Raw genomic sequence first — 25,915 nt, 5'->3', positions numbered from 1 at the left:
AAAGGAAAACACAGGAAGAAAGGAAGGAGAGGAAGGATAAAGGGAAACGAGACCAGGAAAGAGGGAGGAAGAAAAGAGAAAATGAGGCCAGGAGTGGTGGCTCACATCTGTAATCCCAGCATTTTGGGAGGCCAAGGCAGGCCGATCACTGAAGGTCAGGAGTTCAAGACCACCCTAGCCAACATGGTGAAACCCTGTCTCTATTAAACTTACAAAAATTAGTGGACTTAGTGGCAGGCATCTGTAATCTCAGCTACTTTGGAGGCTGCAGCAGGAGAATCACTTGAACCCAGGAGGAGGCAGAGGTTGCAGTAAGCCGAGATCACATCATTGCACTGCAGCCTGGGTGACAGAGCAAGACTTTGTCTCAAAAAAACAAAACAAAACAAAATAAAGGAAGGGGCAAAGAAGGGAGAAAGGACAGGAAAGAAGAAAAGGAGAGAGAAAGAAAGAAAAACTAGTTAAATGTGGCTACATCTAAAATGCTATTTAATATGATTATTATTAAAAATATAAAATTAAACATGAAACAGAAGATACAGATGCCCACCACCAAGCCTGGCTAATTTTTGTATTTTTAGTAGAGACAGGGTTTCACCATGTTGGTCAGGCTGGTCTCGAACTCCTGACCTCAGGTGATCCACCCGCCTCAGCCTCCCAAAGTGCTGGGATTACAGGTGTGAGCCACTACAGCCGGCCTTACGTTAACATTTATAATTTAACACTAACAACAATGAATTGAAAATTCAAAACTATATTATTATAAAGAGATGATGGGGAAAGAACTAAGAAAAGGTAAAATCCTCCTAAACTATTCTTATTACTCAGTAGATTGTATTATTTGCTTGTGTTCTTTCTACGTTTCAATCATAGATAGGCATGCACATATTCAAGAAGGAGACTACTTTTCCTTTTAAAACAGAGTAATCTCTACCTTATTTCTCTTTTCCCAGAAGCAATCACTCTCAATTCTTTGAGTTGAATATTCTTATTTATCTTTCGTTTTGTCTGCTAACACTCTATTGCTTTCTTCTTCGATTTTAGCTTTATCTGTTGACTTTTTCCATGAAAGATAAATATTTGCTTCTATTTCCAGTGTCAGCCTCCAACACACATACTCAAATGTACTCATATATTTTTATTCTCTCCACCTCACAACATGGTTAAATATGTTTACATTATTTTAACTATTAAAATGCTATTCACAGCTTCTATCAGACTGGGTAGTAATGATTAGTTATTCCTTCCTGCAAAATGTTGACTTTTGGAAGAAGCCTCCTTCAGAAACATCAGCTCAAATTAAAACAGACTGTATCCTACACTGATACACAGCTCTTATTATGGCCTATGGGGGGTGTTGGCATGAGGGAAAACTCAGAAAAAGATTAATAGGATGATGTGTAGCCCCTATGGATGCAGTTGACTTGAGACCAACTGCTCATGATCTCAGATCATGAGAGATGGGTGCTCATCTTCTCCTACCTTCACTAGCCCGTTCTAAATTCCGCTCACCCTCAGCTGTCATCTTGGCAAAGTTTGCTGGATTACTTTGATAGTGTGACCTAAACCTTCATACCTGAAGGGTCTGAACACTTGATAGCCATACCCTCCTCAGTGCAGGGTTTGTCCACATATCCATTAGCAGTTACAATGGGACAAGGGAGTACCAGAGGCACCCAAGTAGATCACCTGGGTTCGCCATGTATTCTCCTCTACCACCATTGGTATAAGCAGCCCTATCTGTTCCTGCTGATCAAGGTCAATTCCCCCTCCCAATATAGGAAGTCCTCTTATTGTCTGATGGTGTCTGGGCTCAAAGACTTCAAAATGCCCAGGTGGTAGCTATAAATTATAATTCAACAGGACATTTGCTGTGTTTATTGGTACATTCTGAGACCAAGAACCCCAACCCAGGGAAGCCCAGAGCTGAGGAGACAGGATGGAGAATGTCCTCTGGAGATCTTCGAGAGGAATGGTAAATGAGGCCACTCTTGCTTCCATGCCTTGGGTCTTGGAACCATTCATCTGTCTTTGTGCAAACACAGAGCCATATCAAAATATCTCATTTAATAGACATACTGCCTTCTACAGGATGGTACTTCATATTTTTAGAGTGTTTTCTCTAAACTAGTACTTCAGTTGTACAGCTAGAAGTATTCTATGATCATGGCCATTGGCCTTTGGATCATAAAGTATATGACATGACCAGTGGGACCAGGGACCATGGCCTACTTCTGCATCCCCTTCACTATAAGGTAGGTCCCCAGGTTGGATGTTATGTTCCATGGGATTCCAGGCCCATGTACCAGGCATTCTTTAAGCACCTGGAAAGTGGTAGTGGCTAAGACTCTACTAGCAAGAAGAACAAATCTATACCTGAAATAGAGGAATGACTGACCCTTTGTGGATGGAAGGGACCTGATATCAAATTGCCACCATGTGGCCAGGTGGTCTCCCTGAGGAATAGTGCCATAAAGGAGTTTGGGGAGGAGGGAACTCAGTGTTCATTTCTCTCACTGAAAAGTTGGACACTCAGAGGAAGCAATAGCAGGATCAGCCTTAGTAATGGATTGTCCATGCTGTTGGGCCCATAGGTAGCCTCCATCTCTGCCTCCATGACCCTCCAGTCATGTATTTTTCCTGGCTTGTAGACGGCCATCTTCTCACTGTGTCCTCCTATGGCCTTTCCTTGGGGCATGTACATGGAGAGAGAAGTCGTGAGCACAGCAAGATGGTGGCTGCCAAAAGCCAAGAGAAGAGAACTCAAAATGAAACCTACCTCGCTACTGTCTTGATCTTGGACAGTTTCCAGAGCTGTGAAAAATAAATTTCTCTAGTTTGAGCAACACAGCATGTGTTATTTTGTTATGGTAGCTGAGCAGATTGATAAAGTTTTGGGTACCAGAAGTAAGGTGCTGCTGTAACAAATGCCTAAAAATGTGGAGGTGGCTTTGGAACTGGGTGATGGGTAGAGGCTAGATGAGTTTTGTGGTGCTTGCTAAAAATAAAATTAAGATTGTCACGAAGAAATATAAATATTAAAGGCAATTGTGTTGAGGGCTTTGAAGAAAAGACGAGAGCTAAAGAAAAAGCCTCCATGTTCTTAGAGAATATGTAGAGAATAATCCTGAATAGAATGTTGGTAAAAATATGAATGTTAAAGTCATTCTGGTGTGGTATCAGACAGAAATGAGGAAGTTGTTATCGGACAATGGAGAAAAGGTGATCACTGTTACAAAGTGCTAGAGGACTTGCCTAAATTGTGATCTAGTGCTTTAGGGGAGATAGCACTTGTGAAAGGTAGAATTGCATATTTATGTGAGGAGATTTCCAAGTAAAATGTTCAAGGTATAGCCTGGATCCTCCTGACTACTTATAATAAAATGCAAGAGGTGAGAGTTGAATTGACAAAGGAATTGTTAATCAAAAAGTAACAGGAACTTAAAGATTTGAAAAATTACCTGCCTGTTCATATTTCAAAAATATGAGGAAGTATATTCTGAAGAGAGTGCTAGGGATGTGGCTGGACAACCATTTGATAGGAAGATTGGTATGGGTGTGAACAACAGATGTAATCTGATATATCAGCAGGAGCCAGGAATAGCTTTGGGACTACACCAGCAGAAATACTGCCAGCTGGGACTAAAGGACATAAAAAACTAGATGGAAGGGAGGAAGGTGGACTTCTGCAATCCTGTAGAATGGGCCTGTAGAGCTATTCAACTGCAAACCTGCATTATCCTTCAGGATAAGGGAAGAATGACCCTAAAAGTGATTTAGAAATCAGCAGGGCTGGCACCTTAATCTTAGACTTCCCAGCCAAGATAAATAAATGTCTAATTTAAATTTAAATTTTTAACGTTTAAGCCTGTGGCATTTTGTTTTGACAGCCTGAGCGGACCAGTTCGCCCCCAATCCAAAGAGGCCTATACATATAAAGGTGGGATGAAGTGGTCTGAGCACACAAGTTAAGAATAAACAGAAGCTGACCTTAGAAAATGGGAAGCTATACCATGCTGTAGGTTAAATTAATCTATAAATTTATTATGATCTCAGTAAAAATACAAATAGATTTCTTTTTCTGGAACTATGAAAGAAGATTCTACAGTTTAAGTGAAAAAATAAATTTGAAATAACTTGTAAAGTTCTGAAGAAGGGGAATAAAGAGAAATTAGTTATAGTAGATAATAAGGTATGCTAAAAAGTAAAAGAATAGTTTAGTATTGGTATATTAATATGCAGATATCAGAAAATATGTCTACATATAGAACCAAATATATATGGAATTTTAATATATGATGGATTTGGCATTTCAAGTCTGAGGGAAAATATGTATTATTTAATATATTTTGTTCAACAAATTAAATAGCCATATGTAAGAAAATAATGTAAAATGCTTACCTCACACTTCACATCAAAATAAATACCTCATGATTCAAAGATTTTAACACATAAAAAAGAAACATAAAAGACATAGAACAAACTGTGATAGAGCTTTTAAAAATTTTCAGTGTAGCAAAAACCTTTTCAGGAGTGTCCAAAATACAGAAGCCATAAAAATCTAGTAATTTTGAAGGCATAAAAATAATCTGCTTGGAAAAAAGCTACTATATGTAGTGTCAAAAGAAAAGTGATAAAATTGTGAGTTAATATTTGCAACTCATGTCGCGGGTGAAGTGCTAATGTACTTTTCAATTAAGACAAAAAAGGAATGACATTCTGATAGAAAATATGGCCAGAGGCTACAAGCTCACTCCATTCACTGAAAAGGAATTCCAAATGGCTCTTAAACAAATATATATAGACATCATTCATAATAAGAGAAAATGCAAATTACATTTACAATAACATCTGATATTTTTTAACTGGCCAGGTTAGGAAAGATCAAATAATTTAATAGCAATGTATTATCTCAGGAAATATGTATTCTCATACACAACTCCTGGGAGAGTAAATTGAAACTTCCATGGAGAGCAATTTGTTTCTATCAGAGTTAAAATTGCATCTCCCCTTTGGTCCAGGTTATAGTCCTGTGTATCTCCTCTACATGTACATTGGCACGTGTGTAAAATGACAGATGTACAAGGATATTCATTACTACATTTTATAGCATCAAGGTATGAGGGTCAGAGAATGCTCAAAGGTCTAACAATGGAAAACTGGATAAACCAATAATGGTTCCATAATATAAACCAGCACTGTGTAGCAACAGAAATGAATAAAATAACTCCATAGGTACAGGCATGTGATAATTTGAAGATATACTTTATATTCAAAAAGATAATTCCAAAATGCAGTGTAGAATACAATCTCATCTGTGAAACAGAAGATTAGTAGAAAATATGTATATATTACTATAAATACATGTATATAATTTAGAGTATATCTGAATAAATTCACAAGACGTTGATTTGGCCTCTGAATAAGAAAAATGTGTGGCTGAGGGACAGAGGTTATAGAAAGTTTTATTTTTCCTTGCATATCCTTGTGTTTGTATGGCCTATTCAAGAAAATTAACAATAAGAGAAAAATAGAAACCACAACAAATGAGATGATACAACAAAATACATATAGAAGATTCAGAAATAATTTTTTAAGGAAAAACTGCAATAGATAAGTCTCCAGATTGTTTAACATGAGAAATGGAGAAAAACATAAATACACAAAATTAAAAATTAAAATTATGCTATCAAAACAGAAGTGACTAAAAGTATAACAATAAAAAATAAACATTTAAGGTTCTTTGTAAGTTTTTGAAAATCTCAATGAAATATACAGTTTTCTATAAAAATACAAATGAAATAATCAGATCAAAAGGACATTAAAGATCTGATTATATATTTCTTTTTCAAAATGCCAAACTGTAATCCCAAAAAAGCCTGGGTGTATAAGAAAGCCTTTTTAGCAAACATATCAAACTTTAAAGAAAAAATAGAAATCCAGTTATATTGTCACATACATTTTATAACCTTAGTAATTAAATTTGACAAAAATAGAACAAGAAAAAAGTTACACACAAAATTTACTTAAAAATCAATGTGTAAACATCCTCAATAAAATACTAGCCTAGTCTGGCAGCCTTTTTAGTATTCACCAGTATTCATCTTCCACCTCTTTCATGGCATATGGAAGGATTTGATTTCCATGTCTTCTTGAATTCAACCATGGCCATGTGATTTTTCCATAGCCAATAAAAGGTAAGCCAGAACTTCCATGTTTCCTGGGTAGTAGGAACTAATTACCAGCACTTGGTTCTTCACCACTTTCTTCCCTTTCTCTGGCGACTGTGGCAGCTGTGTCCATATATAGGTTTAGTAATGATCTAGCACATGGAAAACAGTTGCTCCAGAGATTTACCCAAGCCCAAGCCGACTGTATGGGGGCAAGAAATAGTCTTTGTTATTTTAAGTCGCTGATATTTGAGATTGCTTTTAACCATGACATCATCTAGGCTATCCTGACAGACATACAAATCAATTTCAATAGAACACTAAAAATGTAATATGTAAGAGCCAGTTAGGGTTTATACAGGGAAAGAAAGGGTAGATCAAGATCATGAAATGTACCAGCTTCACATCACTGAGGAAAAACTTTGTAAAAATTCTGATAAAAATTAATCACTCCATTTAAAAATGAAAACATTCTATATAGTAAGAGTTCTTTCTTTATATAATAAATATTAATCAACACCAATTGATATCATAGCTATTGGTGAACAAAGAGATATTAAAACATAAACCATTAAAATTAGGACTAAGGTAGTTATACTTGTGCTATGGTTTGAATATTTGTGTTATCCCAAAATTCATATGTTGAAAACTAATCCATCTGGGTGTGGTGCCTCACATTTGTAATCCCAGCACTTTGGGAGGCAGAGGCAGGAGGATAGCTTGAACCCAGGAGTTTGAGACCAGCCTGGGCAACATGGTGAAACCCAATCTCTACAAAAGAAAAATGAGCTAGGTGTAGTGGCATGCTTGTAGTCCCAGCTACTCAGGAGGCCGACGTAGGAGGATCAATTGAGTCTAGGAGATCAAGGCTACAGTGAGCTGTGATCATGCCACTGCACTTCAGCCTGGATGACAGAGTGAGACATCATTGAAAAAAGAAAGAAAAAGAAGAAAAGCAAGAAAGCAAGAAAGAGAAAGAAAAAGAAAGAAAGAAAGAAAGAAAGAAAGAAAGAAAGAAAGAAAGAAAGAAAGAAAAGAAAAGAAAGAAAAAGAAAGAAAGAAGAAAGAAAAGAAAAGAAAAGAAAAGAAAGAGGGAAGGAGGGAGGGAGGAAGGGAGGGAGGAAGAGAGAGGAAAAACTAATCCCTATTGTGATAGTAGTAAGAGCTGAGGCTTGTGGAAGTGATTTGGTCATGATGGATCTGCCGTCATGAATGGGATTAGTCCCGTATTAAAAGAGGCCTGAAGGAGTTAGTTAACACTTTCTGCCCTGTTAGGACACAGCAAGAAGATACCTTCTATGAGGAACAGGCCCCCACCAGATACTGAATCTGCCAGTGCCTTGATCTTGGACTTCCCAGCCTCCAGAGCTGTGAGCAAAAATTTATGTTGTGCATAAATTACCCAGTCTAAGGTATTTTTTATAGCAACCCAAATGGACTAAGACAGCCTGCTACAAAAAACAAAACTGAATGTCTTCTCAAAGTTTTAATGCAATAAGACATGAAACATTTTTGAAAAAGGAAAGACAAAATTACCATTCACAAATAATTCTATATTCTACTGAGAAAACATACAAAAATCAACTGAAAACCTATTAGAAGCAATAGAAAAATTAATTCAGTTAATTGGCTACAGTGATATTTAAAAAATATCAAAGAGGCCAGCAATGCTCATTCATTAGGCAAATATTTATTAGTCACTTACTATGTGTTAGGCTCCATCCTAGCTCTAGTGAACAAAACAGACATAAAGCCTTTCCTTCACTGAATTTTTCTTTAGGAGAAAGGCACTATTAACAGCAATAATAATAATAAAGCAACAAGTAAGATACACATAGGCATCTCCCATCACTAATTCTCCCATCACTAATTCTCTCATCCATTCTTGAAAGCAAAATGTTTTTGCACAAAAATTGTAACTTCTATGAAAAATGTAAAACATATTACAGAAATATATTCCCCATTGTTCAAGATCAGAAAAAATAATATATGACACATTAACCTCCAACCCAACCAATATCCTACAATATAATAAAAATATCAAATATATAAATATTAATAACAAATGGTTACATTGGGAAGTAAAATACATAAAACACTGATTTTGCTCACCCAACAACTGATGTTAATAAATAGTTAACATCAACATAGTAGCATGTTGTGCATCACCCTAGTTGACATTCTACTCTAACTTCCTGAGATTTGTATGCTCTATCGATGATGTTTGCAATATAACTAAAGACTATTCATGAATATTGTTTCATTTAAAAATGTTGCTTTTAGACTTGTGGGCATAATAATTTTTTTTTCCTGTATAAACATGCCCAAAAGATATTGCATTCAAATATAAATCCAATGTATATTAATAACATAGTACTATGCAACTGGGAAAATATTAAGTGGGAGTAATTCCATAGAATGTTCTGTAGTAGGTCAAATTCGGATAAGGGCAATCAAGAGAAAGAAAATGGGGAGGGAATATCGATCAGGAAGGTGATAAAGAAAGCAAATATTTCATGTTTGAATTGGGTGGCTGGGAAGGGTCTCGCTGTAAAGAAGAAAGTTGAGCAATGACTTGAGAGAAGTGAGAGAGTAAGCTGTGGGCGACTGGGAGGAGAGAAAGTTGTAATGAAGGTTCCGAGGTAGAAGTACATCTGGAGTCCTTGAGCTCAGTAAGTTCAGAATGGCGAGCATGGTAAGGGTGAGTGTAGCAGGGTATAAGGAGAGAGAGATTAGAAGTCAGGGAGAGAAATTGGTAGACTACATAAGGACTTTGGAGGTTATTGTAATAACCATGGATTTTCCTAAGAGATTGAAGGTCATGAATTGTGAGCTGAGAAGTCAATAATACAGTCTGTCAATTCAAAGGCATAGATTTTGTTTTGGTTTTCACATATTAACAGCACTAAAATAGAGCTATGTCTTATATCCAATGGTGTAATACATGGTATGATTGGTAACTTTTTTCTCTTCGTCATGTATAAAATAATAGTGTATTATAAAATCTTTGTTATCTTATTTTGAAGAATTGTAGTAAGCCAACTTACAAACGAATGAAATCTCTGGCTGCTGCTTAAAAAAAGACCAAAGGATACAAATGGCTGCCTAAAAACCAATTCAAATTATTTGGAAATTAAATAACACATTTATAAAAATGTCAAGAGTTAAAGAAGAAATCACAAGAAAAATTAAAAAATATTTTGAACTGAATTATAATGAATAAAAAATATAAAATGTTGTATTCTGATGGAAATATATATATTTATTTAAATACTTTTATGCAGAAAAAATCTAAGAAAATATCATATATAATTTTAAAAGTTTAAAATGTAAATAGATTCTTAGGAAAAAAACATCAGATGGTTGTACATCTACAACCATCTGATCTTTGACAAACCTGACAAAAACAAGAAATGGGGAAAGGATTCCCTATTTAATAAATGGTGTTGGGAAAACTGGCTAGCCAAATGCAGAAAACTGAAACTGGACCCCTTGCTTATATCTTATACAAAAATTAACTCAAGATGGATTAAAGACTTAAATGTAAGACATAAAAGCATAAAAACCCTAGAAGAAAACCTAGGCAATACCATTGAAGACATAGGCATGGGCAAAGACTTCCTGACTAAAACACCAAAAGCAATGGCAACAAAAGCCAAAATTGGCAAATGGGATCTAATTAAACTAAGGAGCTTTTCTGCGCAGCAAAAGAAACTATCATCAGAGTGAAGAGACAACCTACAGAATGAGAGAAAATTTTTGCAATCTACCCATCTGACAAACGGCTAATATCCAGAATCTACAAAGAACTTAAACAAATTTACAAGAAAAAGACAATTCCATCGAAAAGTGGGCGAAGGATATGAACAGACACTTCTCAAAAGAAGACATTTGTGTGGCCAATAAACATATGAAAAAAAGCTCATCGTCACTGGTCATTAGAGAAATGCAAATCAAAACCACAATGAGATACCATCTCATGCCAGTTAGGATGGCGATCATTAAAGAGTCACGAAAGAACAGATGCTGGATAGGATGTGGAGAAATAGGAATGCTTTGACACTGTTGGTGGGAGTGTAAATTAGTTCAACCATTGTGGAAGACAGCGTGGCAATTCCTCAAGGATCTAGAATCAGAAATACCATTTGACCAAGCAATCCCATAACTGAGTATATGCCCAAGGATTCCAAGTCATTCTACTTTAAAGAATGCAAGAACACTTATGTTTATTGCAAGAACACATATGTTAATGCAAGAACACGTATGTTTATTGCAGCTCTGTTCACAATAGCAAAGACTTGGAACCAATCCAAATGCCCATCAATTATAGATTGGATAAAGAAAATGTGGTACATATATACCATAGAATACTATGCAGCCATAAAAAAGGATGAGTTCATGTCCTTTGCACGGACATGGATGAAGCTGGAAACCATCATTCTCAGGAAACACAGGAACAGAAAACCAACCACCGCATGTTCTCACTCATAAGTGGGAGTTGAACAATGAGAACATGTGGACACAAGGAGGGGAACATCACAAACCATCACACACCTGGTTTGATGGGTGCAGCAAACCACCATGGCATGTGTAAACCTACGTAACAAACCTGCACGTTCTCCACATGTATCCCAGAACTTAATGTATAATAATAAAAGGAAAAATATCAGAAAGTATAATATACAAAGTATTCATAGTATTTATCATAGAATCTTGGGTTTGTATGTATATGCTTGCCCTCAACTGGTAGAAATTTTTACTACTAATGTGTGTATTTTATGCTTAGAAAAAGGAACACAAATGCTTTAAAAAATACACAAAGGCAATGTGCGATGTTTTAACTCCTATTTGCATTATCTTTGCTTCCTCTTCACAATGTTCCTCATCATAAAGCTAAATATTCATAGATAATTTAAGGGAAGCAATTTTCATGTCCTCAATATATGCCATATATCCTAAACTGAGAAAGTGACAATAGGATCTGCTTCTTCACATCCTGTTTCACAATCACTAGTCCTTTATTTCTCAAAAGAAGAAGATGCCCTCATCCCTAATACAACTATGATGAATTGCTTTAAAGAGGAAAAACTTCTGGTGTATTTAACAAAGGTACAGTTCAAAATAGAAATATCTGCAAAAGCTCCTACATAACTAGATAATCCAGCCCTGCCTATCTCAACAATACAAGGATTTCCAGCAAAATTTACATTTTGCATTTAATATCTATTAACAACATTTTAATGTTTAAGCTCTTATCAATTATATATTAACTTTTGACTTCAGAATCTAATCCAGGAAAAGCTACAAAACACATAGACCTTTATGGCCACAATAAATAAATAATAATTTTAATGTCAAATTATTTTCATTTCAAATTTCAAAATAAATTATTTTATTATATACATTGGTGAATCAATAAAGAATTTTTGAAGAGCAAAAATATATTGGGATAACATATGGGGAAATTGTAATGGAAAAATGATTTCAAAGACTAAAAAATGATGCAGAATGCCTACCTCCTACAAAGGAGTTTGTGTATATCTTTAACATCCAATAAATCTTGAGAGATTGGTAAATGGATATTTATTATTTGAAATATGTACTTTTCAACATAGTTAATATATTGCAAATAAAAAGTGTATTATTAAAATGCATATGCCATTAACATTTATTGAGTATTTACTATGAACTTGGATCTTTGCTAAGAAGTTCCATAGACACTCCATTTCATTTTCACAAAAACATTGCATGACAGGGATGATGCCCAAACAACAGATGTGGAATTTGAGATTCACTGAGGTTAATTATTATGCCAAGGACCACCTAGCTAGTAAATCGCTAAGCTAGGAGTCTAACTTAGGTCTCCTAACAGTAACTTGAATGATGATACAGCTACCTGTTTTTCTATTTTTGCTTCAATAATAACAATTGTAACAATGCATCAGACATACTAAGAATCAATTTGTTTTTGGTTTCTTGTGATCTAGAAAGTAACATAGGCTATGCCATGATTCCTTCCTGCCTGCCTGCCTGCCTCCCTTCCTTCCTTCCTTCCTCCCTCCCTCCCTTCCTTCTTTCCTTCCTATATCCTTCTTTCCTTCCTATCATCTTTCCTTCCCTTCTTCATTCCCTCCCTGCCAAACTCAACAAGTGATTATTGATCGTATTGCTTGTCCAGCACTTTGCACTGCAATGGGCAGGGGGGGTCTGTGCCCTATCTTACCATATAATTTATAGCAAACTTTGTAGCAAGAAAAGCATCTGTTGTAGGAGTTCAGACAGGAAATAATTCTGCATGTTAGTACGTAAGCATTTAAGTTGAGTTGTAGAACTTGTTAAGATCACTTCTCAATATGACCAGTGCTTAGGACTTTATGAACGATGATCTCAAACTTATTAACCAATTGCCCTTTATCTATTCCTCACAACAAAGAGAGGGCAAAAATCAGCTTATGTGATGGAAGCATCATAGAAATGGGATATTAAAATGATATGAATTCCTTTAAAAGTATATAAGAGCAGTATGAGCTATGTTGAGTCAACACCCTTCCTCTACGTTCTCACTGTCACCTGGACGTGCCTCTCTTTGGCTTTAGTGTGCTTACTTTTTAATACTTCCATCTCCCTCTGTTAAATGATAAATTATTTAAGGAATCCTGAATTAACTTGGTACTTAGTGAAGCCTGGATAGTAGCAAATTCTAAATAATGTGTGTTTCATCAATGAATAATGAATAAAAGCACTACCTCTTGATCATACTATAGTAGTATGCAAAAATCAGGAAGGGAGAGGAGAAACCAATCGCTGGTAAAGTGACATTGTCTTAGCTTTGAAATCATTTCAGGAGTGAGAGGAGGTGGTGATGTTGTCCAGATTCCACAAGAAATGATAGACATAATTACCTACCTCACTACCAGAAACCAGGGCAGGGTGCCATGCAAAGAGATTTCCAGTCAAGGTGATAAAGACCAGTATAAGAGCACATACACAATCGGAAGGTTTGTTTCTCACTCACACAGCAGTCCAGAGGTAAGCAGGCCAGGTGTTGGGCTCAGAAAATGATACCCCAACGTTTGGTGCTTTGGCACGCTCAGCACGAAGAACTAAAGGAAATGAGAGCTTTCAAAGCTGCTTTGGAATCAAGGACTCTCTGACCCTCCCTAGTTTCTCCTACCAAGTGCAGGGAGGAGCTGTCCCTGAAATTTCCTTATCTGACTGAGGGAAATTCTTCCAAAAGAAACACGATTGCCTTCAATCTCCTGTCTGAAATCTTATTGACCAGGGAAGATTAATTTGTATTGCAGGAAAGGAAACTAAAAGTCGCCAGGCCCAGGACAACACGCCAGGACAGACTTTTCACTTCTTCTTTCAGCTACTTTTCTAAGGGCTGTTACCTGAGAAACTTGATCTGCGTAATAAGACAGCCTTTGCTCACCATTGTTTCTCTCCTTATCCTTCCATGGTATGTGTCACCACCTCCCCTCCCTCTCAGAGGCCCCCGTTTCTTTCTACTTAAGTTTCTGCCACCTGGTCCCCTCTTTGAACCTCATATTTTGTGTGACTCTCGTGTTTATGCACACAATACATTTGTATGCCTTTACCCCAGCTTTGTCTATTGTCAGTTCATTTCAGCAGACTCGATTATAGAATCTTCATTCAGATAGGGGAGGAAAATGTTTTGGGGCCCTACACAGTTGTGATATACAGTTGCACACTTCTGAAATTGTTCAGGGTATGCTACCCACAATATCCCACCTTGGCATTTAAAAAAAAAAAAAAACAGAAGCAGAAAGGTCTTTCCAGCCTTCTCTCACCATTCTCTCCTGAAGCAGGTTATAAAACCTATGAAAGTCACTCTCTGGCCTTTCTCTCTCTTCTTCCCTGAAGACTCTCACATGACAAGTGTCCTGCCCTGTACCCAGAGGGAAGGAATGCCACACAGAGACACCAAGAAGAATCTGAACAGACATTGCTAAGTTCCTCGCCCACCCCCGCCGTGTATTACCATTAGACTATACCCCTTTTCAAGCCCTCCACTCTGACTTCTGCACGTGTTCATAAAAAGTTTTCCTCTCTTACACAGATCTTTATACTAAAGCCTCCCATGTCACATAAAAGTTATATCAAGTAAATCTGAATGTTTTACTCTTGTCCATCTGCCTTTGGTTATGGGGGATCTCAGCTATGAAACTTGTGATGGGTAAGAAAAGGAATCTTTTCTCCCCTGTGGAACCTAGGCTTATTCTGTCGTATTGTTCTGTCATCTTTAATATGCAGCTCCCCATTTGGTGGTTTAAAATGACTAATGATGGGACTTCGGAAAACAATACCCAAAAAATACCCCAAAACAATATCTTAAAATGAAGCCCTCAGAAGCAGCCTCAAAAACCAAAGTTTTTCTCTGACATTCTCCTGCCCTCCAGTCTCTCAGTCCCATTCTCCCCAAAGGCTACCCATAAAACCTAGAATCCTTCTTCCCCAAGGCAGATCACTGAAACCAGAACCGCGTTTCCCCCCAAACCAGCCATAAAACCGAGTAATACTGGTGTAAGTTCTTCTATAACTTTCTGTGTAAAAACTACAAGGAAATGACCTAACTCACCTTATTTGGCTGTAGGTCATAAGACCCCCATTCTAGAGAGGGTCCTGGCCCACACCCAGAAGAAAGAAATGCATGCTCAGAGGGGCCAAGAAGAATCTGGACACACAGGCCTCGCTGGGCTTCCCAACTCAGTCTATTAGAATTGGATCACACCCTTTTTGTCCAGTGATATGTCTACACAGCTGTCCATAGTTTGTTGAATCTAAGCATAAAATAGACGATTTCCCCTGTATCTTTGGCTTTTCCTTCTAAAGACTCCTGTGTGTACATGTTAAATAAACTTGTATGTCATTCTGTGAGTTGATTTTTCAGTGAACCTTCAGCAGGCAAAGGGGAACTTTTCTCTTGGCTCTGACACTATTTTAGTTCCTTCCACCACATGCAAATTCCACTGAACAGAAAAAGGAGAGAAAAGGAGTATGTATATATATTCTTTTTCTCCATATATATATATATATATATATATATATATATATATAGACACACACACACACACACACACATATACATATTGATATGGAAAGGATTCAGGGAAGTGTTGGGTAGAGGAGGTTGTGGTTCCTGGTTAGGGCTCTGGCCAGGGCCTGTGCCCGTGGACTTAGGTGCCAACAGGCATTTCTGTTTTCCTGCCCAAATGTTGCATTTCCCAAGACCACCCTGGCCTGCCACACCCCCATCCTGTGCCAATAAAAAACCCGGAGACCCTAGCAGGCACACACACAAGCAGCTGGACGTCAAGAGGAACACACCAGCGGAAGAAGACAAGCGGCTGGACATGGAGAGAGAGGCACTGGAAGGCCATCGACCGGCGGAACGATGTGGCGTTTGGCTGGGGCGGTTGGAGGAGAGCCCAGCCGCTAAGCAGCCTGACTCCAGGGGAAAACCACCTTCCCACTCCATCTCCCTTCTGGCTCCTCCATCTGCTAAGAGCTACTTCCACTCGATAAAACCTTGCACTCATTCTCTAAGCCCACGTGCCCTCTGATCCCTTCCAATACACCAAAGGAAGAAACCCCAGGATTCAGAAAGCACTCTGTCCTTGCAATAAGTCAGGGAGTCTAATTGAGCTGATTAACACAAGCTGCCTACGGATGGCTAAACTGAAAGAGCGCACGGTAACACACGCCCACTGGGGCTTCAGAAGCTCTAAACACTCAACCCTAGATGCTGCCATGGGGTTGGAGTCCCACAGCCTGTCCATCTGCATGCTCCCCCTAGAGGTTTGAGCAGGAGGGCACCAAAGAAGCCAGCAACACCCCATCACACACCCTGTGAGGGGGACAAGGGAACTTTTCCTGTTTCATATATATATATATATGAATACATATGCAATTCATCCACGTACCCACTATACAAGTCATTCACAAAACCAAAAACCACTTGTACCCCAAAAGTTATTAAAAAAAAAAATATATATATATATATCCAAAAATATAAAGACAGGATTACACACAAAAGCAAAAGCACAATTTAAATTTTCATTTCATAAGTTACAAATTTACTTAATAATAATTAATAATATGGGTAGTCTGTTACATAGTGAGAGCCAATTGTAACAAATGGCTTTTTATAAGATTTTACAGTTTATCAAATAAAATCGAATATAGTTACCCAATTAGTTCTTACAAAAACCCATGAACTGTAGAGGTGTGTGTTACTGTGATCAGCCTCAGTTTCTAAATAAGTTCTGGGGGTTCACAGAAGTTAAGTCACCTAATCTTATAGGACTATATATATATATATATATATATATATATATATATATATCTTTTCTCGTGCATGTGTGTGTGTGTATATATATACACACACACACACACAGAGAAAGAATGTTCTTTTCTCTACGTGTGTGTGCATGCACACACACACACACACACATCCCTTTTCAAGGCACGATATTGCATATACCACATTTTTTCTCCTACCACTTGCCTAAATCCAATTACATGATGAAAATTTACTGGAAGGGAAGCTGGTGAATAAGGTCTTTAGCTGGTTATCTATGTGGCATTTGAAGCTTCTAATTGTATAGAAGAAATACAGAAAGTTACTGAGGGAAGAACTAATGGTCTATGCCATAGTAGAGTTTGCATAAACTCACTTAAACGGAAAAGTGGGTAGAAACTCCTTTTATATGATGAGATAGCATTGTGTTCTGGGAAAAATGTGAAAGAACTTAACAGAACCTCTCCTACCAAGTCAGAAAGTCAAGTAGAGAAGTTGAGCGGGACTGTGTCACTGTCAAGGATCCCTGTGGATGTGGTGGCACTTCTGATCCCAGAGGCCACAAAGATAAAAACTCTACAACAATAGTCAGGAATAGAGAATTATGTAGGAGGACCCCTGAGAGGCTCAACAAAATGGCAAAGAAATGACTTGGCCTAGAGGAAATTATAGGATTAGTTCACTTTTTAGTCCCCACCATATACTTGCTGAATCTCAGAAATAGTTAAGAGGATCTAGAGTAAATTAAAACTTTTTCTTTATCCCTTCATTTGGATCTGTAAAAATCAGACAGGAAGCCTCACTGACAGGATTCATTTTAACCGACACAATCGACACAAAACCAGCCGAAATCTCTCCTTGTAAACATGAGCAAAATGAGAGAAATTTTCAGACACATAAAAGATGCTGTTCTCCACTGGGCACAGTGGCTCAGGCCTGTAATCCCAGCACTTTGGGAGGCCAAGGCAGGCGGATCATGAGGTCAGGAGATCGAGCCCATCCTGGCTAACATGGTGAAACCCTGTCTCTACTAAAAATAAAAAAAAAAGCCGGGTGTGGTGGTGCACGCCTGTAGTCCCGGCTACTCGGGAGGCTGAGGCAGAAGAATCCCTTGAACCCGGGAGGCAGAGGTTGTAGTGAGCCGAGATCATGCCACTGCACTACAGCCTGGGCGATAGAGCAAGACTCTGCCTCAAAAAAAAAAAAAAAAAAAAAAAAAAAAAGGTGTTCTCTAAAAGAGAGAAAGTAGTCAGAGGAATGTGCATGTGTTTCTCACTGCTGCAGCAAGAAATCATATTTTTTAAAAATATCTAAATTTTATTTCTAACAAATTAGAGAAGGCACACAGCACAGAATGACTGGAATAGGCAATCATGAAGAGATAACTATCTAAGATCAGGAAACAATACCTAGCAATTAAGCATATCATTGATGAACTAAAAACTGCAATGTAGATAGTAATTGAATAGAATGGAAGAAAAAATAGTAAAGGAGAGAGTAGCCTAATAAATTATTCTATATGTCAGAATGAAAGGATAAAGGATGATATATGAGAGAAAAGATTAAAATAAAACATGAAGAGGTGTGTGTAACATGTATTTAATATAACACCTCCCATCTTGAAAGGTCCTCCTCAAAACAAGAACAATTAGGAAAAAATGAAGTATCCTCACATATATACTCAATAGTATTTTTCACATTCAAAACTAAATGACGAGTTAATGGGGTGCAGCACACCAACATGGCACATGTATACATATGTAACTAACCTGCACGTTGTACACATGTACCCTAAAACTTAAAGTATAATTAAAAAAAAAAAACTAAAGGAGAAAAATATCTCTATATGCACCCACTCAAAATAAAAAGGAAGAGAAAGAAGGGAGGGGGAAGAAAGTAAAAGTTGTCTTTTAAATTACAATAATGCAAGTTCAACTACATAAGGAATCTGCAGTCTTGTTCGCTAGTCTGCAAAACCTAGGAGGGTGCCCAGCAGACAATGGGTATTCAGCAAATATGTCAAATAAATGAGATTTTAGTGTTGTGCGTAAACAAACATTTGACCCAAAATTTCTACAACAAGCTATGTTGCTGCCTGGTATCAGGACAAAGGAAACATAACTTTATAGGAGATTTACAAAGTACACTTTCCTTCCATACCCTTTGTAAAAAAAAAAAAAAAAAAGAATAGTCAATTTGCATCACAGTCAGCTGAGAAATGAATAAAAGTATAGCCTTCAAGTACTTTTACAATGGTACCTAACCACGTACATGAACACACACACACACACACACACACACACACAGGAAATTTAAAAGATAATTTTGTAAGCATCAATCTTTTAAGGGTACTAAAATATCACTGGAATAAATTGAAAATACTATACTAATTACCTCAAGTTTCTACATATAACTCCTTATATAATTGATGAAATGGAAATTGGGATCACTCCAGCCAAAATCATGTCCTTAAGTGAAATTTTTTAGAAAATAAAATAAATTTTTCAAAGAGCCCACTTCTAATTGGTACCAAAATATAGACATCAACTATGGAGACATTATGGTATTAAAAACATATAGTAATGAGAAATAAAACTAAATATACTATAAGTTTGAAGAATTATTAAAGTTTATACACTTTAAAGCACATGAGACAATACTTTTTGCAAAGAATTATAACTAAAACATAATATATAAATATTCATATATTTATAATGGTAACATTATAATCACAATATAAAGTACACATTTACTATTAATATGGGTTTTAAATTTCAGATTTTATCAACAAAAATTGGGATTTGGTTTGAAAGTAGCAAAATAAAACCATGTTAGTTTCCATTGTATTCGGGAAGAGTATAGGTATAGAAACATATACATATGTTTTTTTCTTGATGATAATTTCAAAAAATGTCACATAAACTATACCTAAATACCCAAGGTAAATTCACAAAGAGAGGTGTGCATTGAATTGATGGGGCTGTAGTTTGCCTAAGCTGGTATTCAGATACCCGGAATACACACTGACCACTTATTCACCCCTATACTTTCTGGGTCCACATGCCTGGCCTTTTGTGGCTGGCTTGCCAAAATGGATTTAAGAAAATCTTTTTCCTGGGGCATCTGGAACTGAAAAGGTTGTGCTACCTGCTCTGAAATTTGCATCCTTCAGCAGTTTCGTGCAAATAAAGGATTTCCTCATCTGCTCTGTCCATCATCTGTGGTCTCTCTATGTCTGCTTCAAAATCACTTGGCAGTGGACACATTGACACTGCCCCTGCACCAACACCTTGCGCTCACCCCCACTGCATGCCACAAGCCCTGAACCTTCAACAGCTGCATTGTATTGTGCTTACAAAGTTCAAATTGCTGCTAAAATACCCTTTGGCGCTATTCCTCTGTTACAACATTTTGACTTATCTGGACCTGAGATGGCTCACGTGGCGATTTCTGGCCAGGCCCCCATGGTTTCCAGCCAACATTTGCAAATATAGTTAGGAAGACATCCTCTTCCCAGAGGTGTGCATCAGGAATAATTACAGAACTAAGAAATCTTCCATCTCACTAGTTCTGGTTAGTGGCCTTGAATCTGAGAGCCCCCTCTTGTGTTTAAATCAACTTACATTTGCATGCAAGTGTGTGTGGGGTTCCAGGAATTCATAACATGTCACATCTCACAACAAAGCCACCCTGTGAAGGACCAACCCAGCAGGACCTAGAAATGTATCCATGGTCCCCATCCTGCCCCCTGCTCAGAATTCTCACTCCCTGAATCACCTCTCAGACCGAGCCAGGTCTGCAGCGCTGTTAAAAAGCCACTGTATTTGCTTTCTTGCTTTCCCTTGCTTACTTTTCACACCTTTCCTGCTTTGGGGGGAGGTGATCCGGCTTTCAGATGTAAAAGAGCCGGCTTCTGAGCCCTGGGTTCCACCGAGGAGTGAAAGTAAACAGGAAGGGAGAAGGCTCACAGAAGTCTTTATAACCTGTATGTTAAATTATGTCAACAGGATGCTGAGAACAGGATCTGTTGAGGAAATTCCACAACTAAATAATGAAAGCTCCATGGTACCTGAATGGAGAGGTCTGGATGGTATTCCCTTTGATCTAACTACATAGTTATAAGAGAGCTTGAAGGAGAGAGTTTCGAAACAAAGAAAAAAAGTAACATTCGATAATCCAAAGAGTAAGGCTATTGGTTAGGGACGGCTAGACTTGGTTCCCACTTTAGAGGCTGAAACCAAGCCATGGCTTCAGAGAAACAGAGTTTCTTTTGATTCTGATTAAGAGTTTAGCTTTTGGGAGAAGTGATGTGTGGTGCTGGTTTTCCCACAGTGTTTTTGTTTTGTTTTGTTGTGTTTTTGTTTTTTTTTTTAAGTTTCTGTAAAGGAACTCACTTCAGCCTCAGAAGAACACATCCAAGTTAATAAAGAGATATGAGGGGCAAAAAAAATATTACCTCCCTCCTCACCTACTCTAGGGAACACATCCCCATGTGGGAATGCTTAAACTTCCCCCACAATCTTTCTCAGAGACATCAAAGGATGTTGACTTAGGTTTAATAGTTTACAATTGGAATTTGTCTTTATGAAAATGCAGGGCTGTGTAATTTATGGAAATTAAGCATGCATGCATCTCCATTGTGCTAGATGCATTATGATAGAGTAGGATTAGGCAGAAAGACAGGGACTTCATGACATATTAAAATACTTTGTGTCTAAACACTGCCCAGAGACTGAAGAGGGATTTAAAAAACGCTACTGTCCATGACAAGGGCGGGGGGATTTCAAGTGTGACCTAGTTTTGTTGTTGTTGTTGTTGTTGTAATGGAAGGAAGATAGATTTTGGTATATTTGTTTCACATTTTACCCTGAAGACCACATGACATATCACTTTGTTTTATGTTAAGAGGGATTCTTCTTAGAGTGTTGTGTTGCTTTGCAAATGGAAAGGCAGGGCTATGCTTCCAATGACTCTGCCTTGAAATAATTTAAATTTAGGCCAGAAAGTTTAGCAATTTATGATAAATATTGAGAATAAGCAAATTTGCAATTTTCAGGGAAGTCTGGAAGATTCCTTTTTCATATTAATAAAAGGTTGCTCAGTATGAACCATGCAAGTGGAAAAATTTCTTTTGGTTGAAACACCAAATCTGCTATGTTAGATTTAGAAGAAATACATTTCTTTTCCTTGATCTTAAATTTCTTGGAAAGTACTCCTCTGAAAGTTTTAGAAATAAAATAGTCAGCAACAATAATAATCATGATAACTGGTAATAATAATAGCTTTGCCTGTATGCATGCCATTTGTTTTTCAAAGATTAACCACATACATTTACTTAGTTGATCAAAGCACCTTCCCTTGCCTGAAAATTCGGTTCAATTTACCTTGAGAATATTTGGTCTCAGGCAGTCACAACTGGCCACAGTAGGAATGGCTTTTAAACAGCAGTGAGCACCCTGTCAGGAATATAACAAAGTTTAGCAGGTGTTGCTTTGGTTTTCTGGAACTGTAAATAAATTCCAGAGATATTCATACTTACACATGCTGAGGGCTTGGCGAAACTGTGTTCAAAAATCACACACCACTTAATAAATGGGTTCATAATTTCTTTCAGCTAAAGACACTGTGGATGGATATGCAATGTCTGATTAAAAATAAGGAATAGGGATTAATTTTGATTATTTGGAAAGAATGTGGCTGCATATCAAATAACGTCTTTAATCTGACTTTTTAAAAAACTGGCTGAAAAATCACTGAAAAGCATGGAACCCAGTGGAAAATTGGATCAGATGTGCTATATTTATAGCCACACAAATAAACACATTTCGAATTCTGTTTGTTGGAAGCCTTTACTGTTTTGTAACAAGGTAGCGCTCCCTTTGAAATGGGAACCCTGCCATCTAGTGAGCATTTTGGGTATCGCATCTCAGATCATTCCTCAACACAAATAGGTTAAATTAAATCTTGAGTTATTTTAGAGTTGCAGTATATTGTAAGTATTTATAGACGGAGAAATTGAAGGAAGAGGGTTGAAAGATTTTTTCAAAAAGGCTCACATTAGTCTAATGGCAGTGTTTTAAATAATATCAAAATAACTGGGTTCTCAAACACAAAAATGTATTATTCAATAGGCACAAGATTAACTCTTTCCTTTTATCTAACAACATTTTTGCTATATAAACCACTGGTTATTCAGTGAAGACCTTCTTAACTATTCACAGTTAGTCTATGAAACAAATTCTATATTATTTTTTAGTTAATTATTCCAGGGGTTAAATTTCAATGGTTCATTAAAAAATGATTTGCTTTTGGCTTCATTTTTGCTTTTGGCTTTCTTTCATGAAAGAAATAATGCATAGTCAGATAATAATCTGAAATATTTGTATAATTCATCGAGTCTTTAACTTTTCTATTGAGTTTCTTAAAAAAAATTGACTGGTCTTGAAAATCATATCACTGTGTGTGTTAAAATTCATTGACATAAATACATGTTTTAAAAAGAAAGCTTTAACCAATTTGTGAAGGAGTATTACTTCACTAGGAAGAATCACACAAATGGAAAAAATAATTTTCTGTCATTTTAAAACATTATCTTCAAGTCATAAGGATTCTCAAGTCATTTATTTAACAAATGCATGTTGAGTCTCTACTAGATATCAGTCACTGGGAGATAGGGCATTTCTTCTCTTCAAGAAGTCTGAGGTACTAGGATAGGCAAACATACTAAGGGAGGAGACCACCCGTCATATTGTCTTATGCCCAATTTCTGCCTCCAAAGAAAGAAGAAGTAAAAACTAAAAGACAGAAATGAATTCCACAGGCAGACAGCCCAGCGCCATGCCCTGGGCCTGGTTAAAGATCGACGCCTGACCTAACCGGTTATGTTATCTACAGATTCCAGACATTGTATGGAAAAGCATTGTGAAAATCCCTGTCCTGTTCTATTCCGTTCTGATTACTGGTGCATGCAGCCCCTAGTCGTGTATCCCCTGCTTGCTCAATAGATCACGACCCTCTCACGCAGAGCCCCTTAGAGTTGTGAGCCCTTAAAAGGGACAGGAATTGCTCACTCAGGGAGCTCAGTTGTTGGAGACGTGAGTCTTGCCGAAGCTCCCGGCTGAATAAAACCTTTCCTTCTTTAACTCGGTGTCTGAAGGGTTTTGTCTGTGGTTTGTCCTGCTACAATACAAATAAATAATTATGTATGTGTCATGGACTCCCTCATAGAAGCACGCATAACATACACAGTGGAAATCGGTCAGCAGTCATGATGCTGGCTAGAGAAAGTTTCATAGACAAAGAGAAATACTTGATTTGGAGCAACAGAAGTTTCCCAAGTTAGTGATTAAGCATATTTATGTGTTTGTAAAGTTATTTTTTAAAAAAATTTTAAGGTTACAGTTTTAACAAATGCAGAAATGGTCCAAACCATTGACATTTTAAAACAATAGGGACAAAATGAAGTTTAAGAGCCCACAAAATTCCAGTCCATGTTTCATGATTTATTTCAGTCAGTGAATTTTCTATGTATACTAAACATACGGATATTTTGAGTATGTTTCTAATTTTTGTGATTATTTATGATGTGCCTGGTCTTGAATTTACAAGATTGGCTTATAACAATTATTTTCAGGATTAACATGGGGTAATTATTTGATAACCTTATCTTTTCAATAGTTTTATTGCTGATCAAAGTACAGCTTCCCAAAGTTATTTTTAATAAACTATGTATAAAATTCTTCTGTATTACTGAAGTAAATTAAGCAGTTTTTTATAAAGCTGATGGTATTTTGAGGAGCAGGAATGGAATGTATGAAGGTCAGAATTGTGAGGCATCTTGATATGATCAGGAAAAGGAATAGTTTAATGTGACCAGAGTATGTGTTTACATGTGGACAGAACCAGATATGAGGAGGGAGTGGGTAGGGGCAGATTGTTAGGAGCTGGTCGTTACTGGGACATCAGATAGACAAAGCTTCAGTTAAATGCCCTGTTGGTCACCACCATCCCACAGGTGTTTACCTCTCCAGGTCCAGAAGAGATGAAATATCATGGTGAAGTGGAAAAAACACTGGGCTGCAAGTCAATGTAAAGAATGGTTTGGTTTGATTAAGCCAAACTAGCGCATCTCATCCTGTTCCCTTTTTTTGTTGAACACAAACTTCCCCTCAGATATTATTTTATTGGTAGACTTCAAGAAAAACAAAAGGTTTTTCTTGAAGTTTCAAAAGTTTTCTCAGTTAGATGTCATTTAAAATATGTTTTAATATAGTGTAATTCACATTTCAAAAAGTGTTCCTAAGGGAACACAAATTTTGATGAATTTTCATAAGCAGGGATACCCATGTAACCAGCACTCATCAACAAAACAGTAACTATACTCCACACACCTACCAGAGTTTTGCTTATTTTTAAAGTTTCTATTAATAGAATCTTTAAAGTATGTTCGTTGTTATGTTGATGCCCTTTTTAGATGCTGTACTTAATATAGTTACACACGTTTCTTTCCTGCAAGAATTCTCTTTGGAGGAGAAGCTGGGTGTGCAGTGCTCCCCAGGTGACGACACCTAGGTTCAAAGTCAAAGTAATCATCCCTGAGTTGTACAGATGGTGCGCAGCACCAGTGTTGTTAAAGAGTTTGATTTTAGTGCATATATTCTTTCTTCTAGTCCTGGAGTTGGCAAATTTGTTTGTAAAGAGCCAAATAATAAGTATGTTAAGTTTTGCAGGCCATATCTGATCTCTGTTTCTCCTCTTCCTCCTCCTCCTCCTTCTCTCCTTCTCCCCCTCCTCTTTCTTCTTCCTTATACCTCTAACAATGTAAACACCACTCTTGGCTCTTTAGTCACACAAAATCAGGCCTCCAGCAATATCTAGTCCACAGTTTGCTGACCACATCTGAACCTGGCATGATTTCTAAATCAACAAAGCATCGAAAATAGAATCACTCTCTTCTCCCTAGCACAGGAAGGGAGCTAATGTTTCCGATCTCCGGAAAAGTCATTTATTGATGATTTTTTGGGTTCATTTTTGAAGCACATAAGCCATCTTCTTGGGTTTCTGCATGTCCAGGTTAAGCCTGTGGCTCAGTCCCATGGTGATCTCATGAGAAAGTCTCGTGTGACTGATGAGGTCTGGTTGGGCCCCTGCCAGGGTCAGCCCTCTGCACCTAGCTTTTCAACTTATCCTTCCAAGACCCCTCATCTGTTCTGAGCAGGAGAATGTGCTGCCAATCCTGAATAGAGCTGTGATCCTCCAGGGAGGGAGTAGGTTTAGAAAGTTTATTCCATAAACCCACTTTCAGGTTTGTTGTCAAGAGTGCAGAGAACTGGCTGTCTGCAGCTTATTGCTCAGATTCACTATGCACAGCCCTGAGGAGGAAGAAACTTTCCTCTTCATTTTCTGAGCCCCACATGAGGAA

The 25,915-nt window shown here is 37.4% G+C and overlaps 1 long non-coding RNA gene across 3 annotated transcripts in view, besides 2 other annotated features; it reads right to left on the bottom strand.

The window, feature by feature from the left end:
• LOC105374510 (uncharacterized) overlaps positions 1-25,915 on the bottom strand; it is a 428,164-nt gene that overhangs the window by 128,059 nt on the left and 274,190 nt on the right. The gene's annotated exons all lie outside the window — the stretch shown is intronic.
• Positions 13,334-13,413: an enhancer, noted in NCBI's record as "active region_21360". NCBI's record gives its function as "activates an Ori minimal core promoter by ATAC-STARR-seq in GM12878 lymphoblastoid cells {active_cell/tissue: GM12878}" and the evidence as "EXISTENCE:reporter gene assay evidence [ECO:0000049][PMID:35858748]".
• Positions 19,305-20,238: an enhancer, noted in NCBI's record as "OCT4-NANOG-H3K27ac hESC enhancer chr4:18693291-18694224 (GRCh37/hg19 assembly coordinates)". NCBI's record gives its function as "activates a minimal SCP1, AML or CMV promoter by ChIP-STARR-seq in naive H9 embryonic stem cells {active_cell/tissue: H9 hESC(naive)}" and the evidence as "EXISTENCE:reporter gene assay evidence [ECO:0000049][PMID:30033119]".

Source organism: Homo sapiens, chromosome 4 (genome assembly GCF_000001405.40).
Source record: "Homo sapiens chromosome 4, GRCh38.p14 Primary Assembly".
Taxonomy (NCBI): Eukaryota; Metazoa; Chordata; class Mammalia; order Primates; family Hominidae; genus Homo; species Homo sapiens.
The sequence above is the reverse complement of the archived record's forward strand: the minus strand, read 5'-3'. Positions and strand labels throughout refer to the sequence as shown.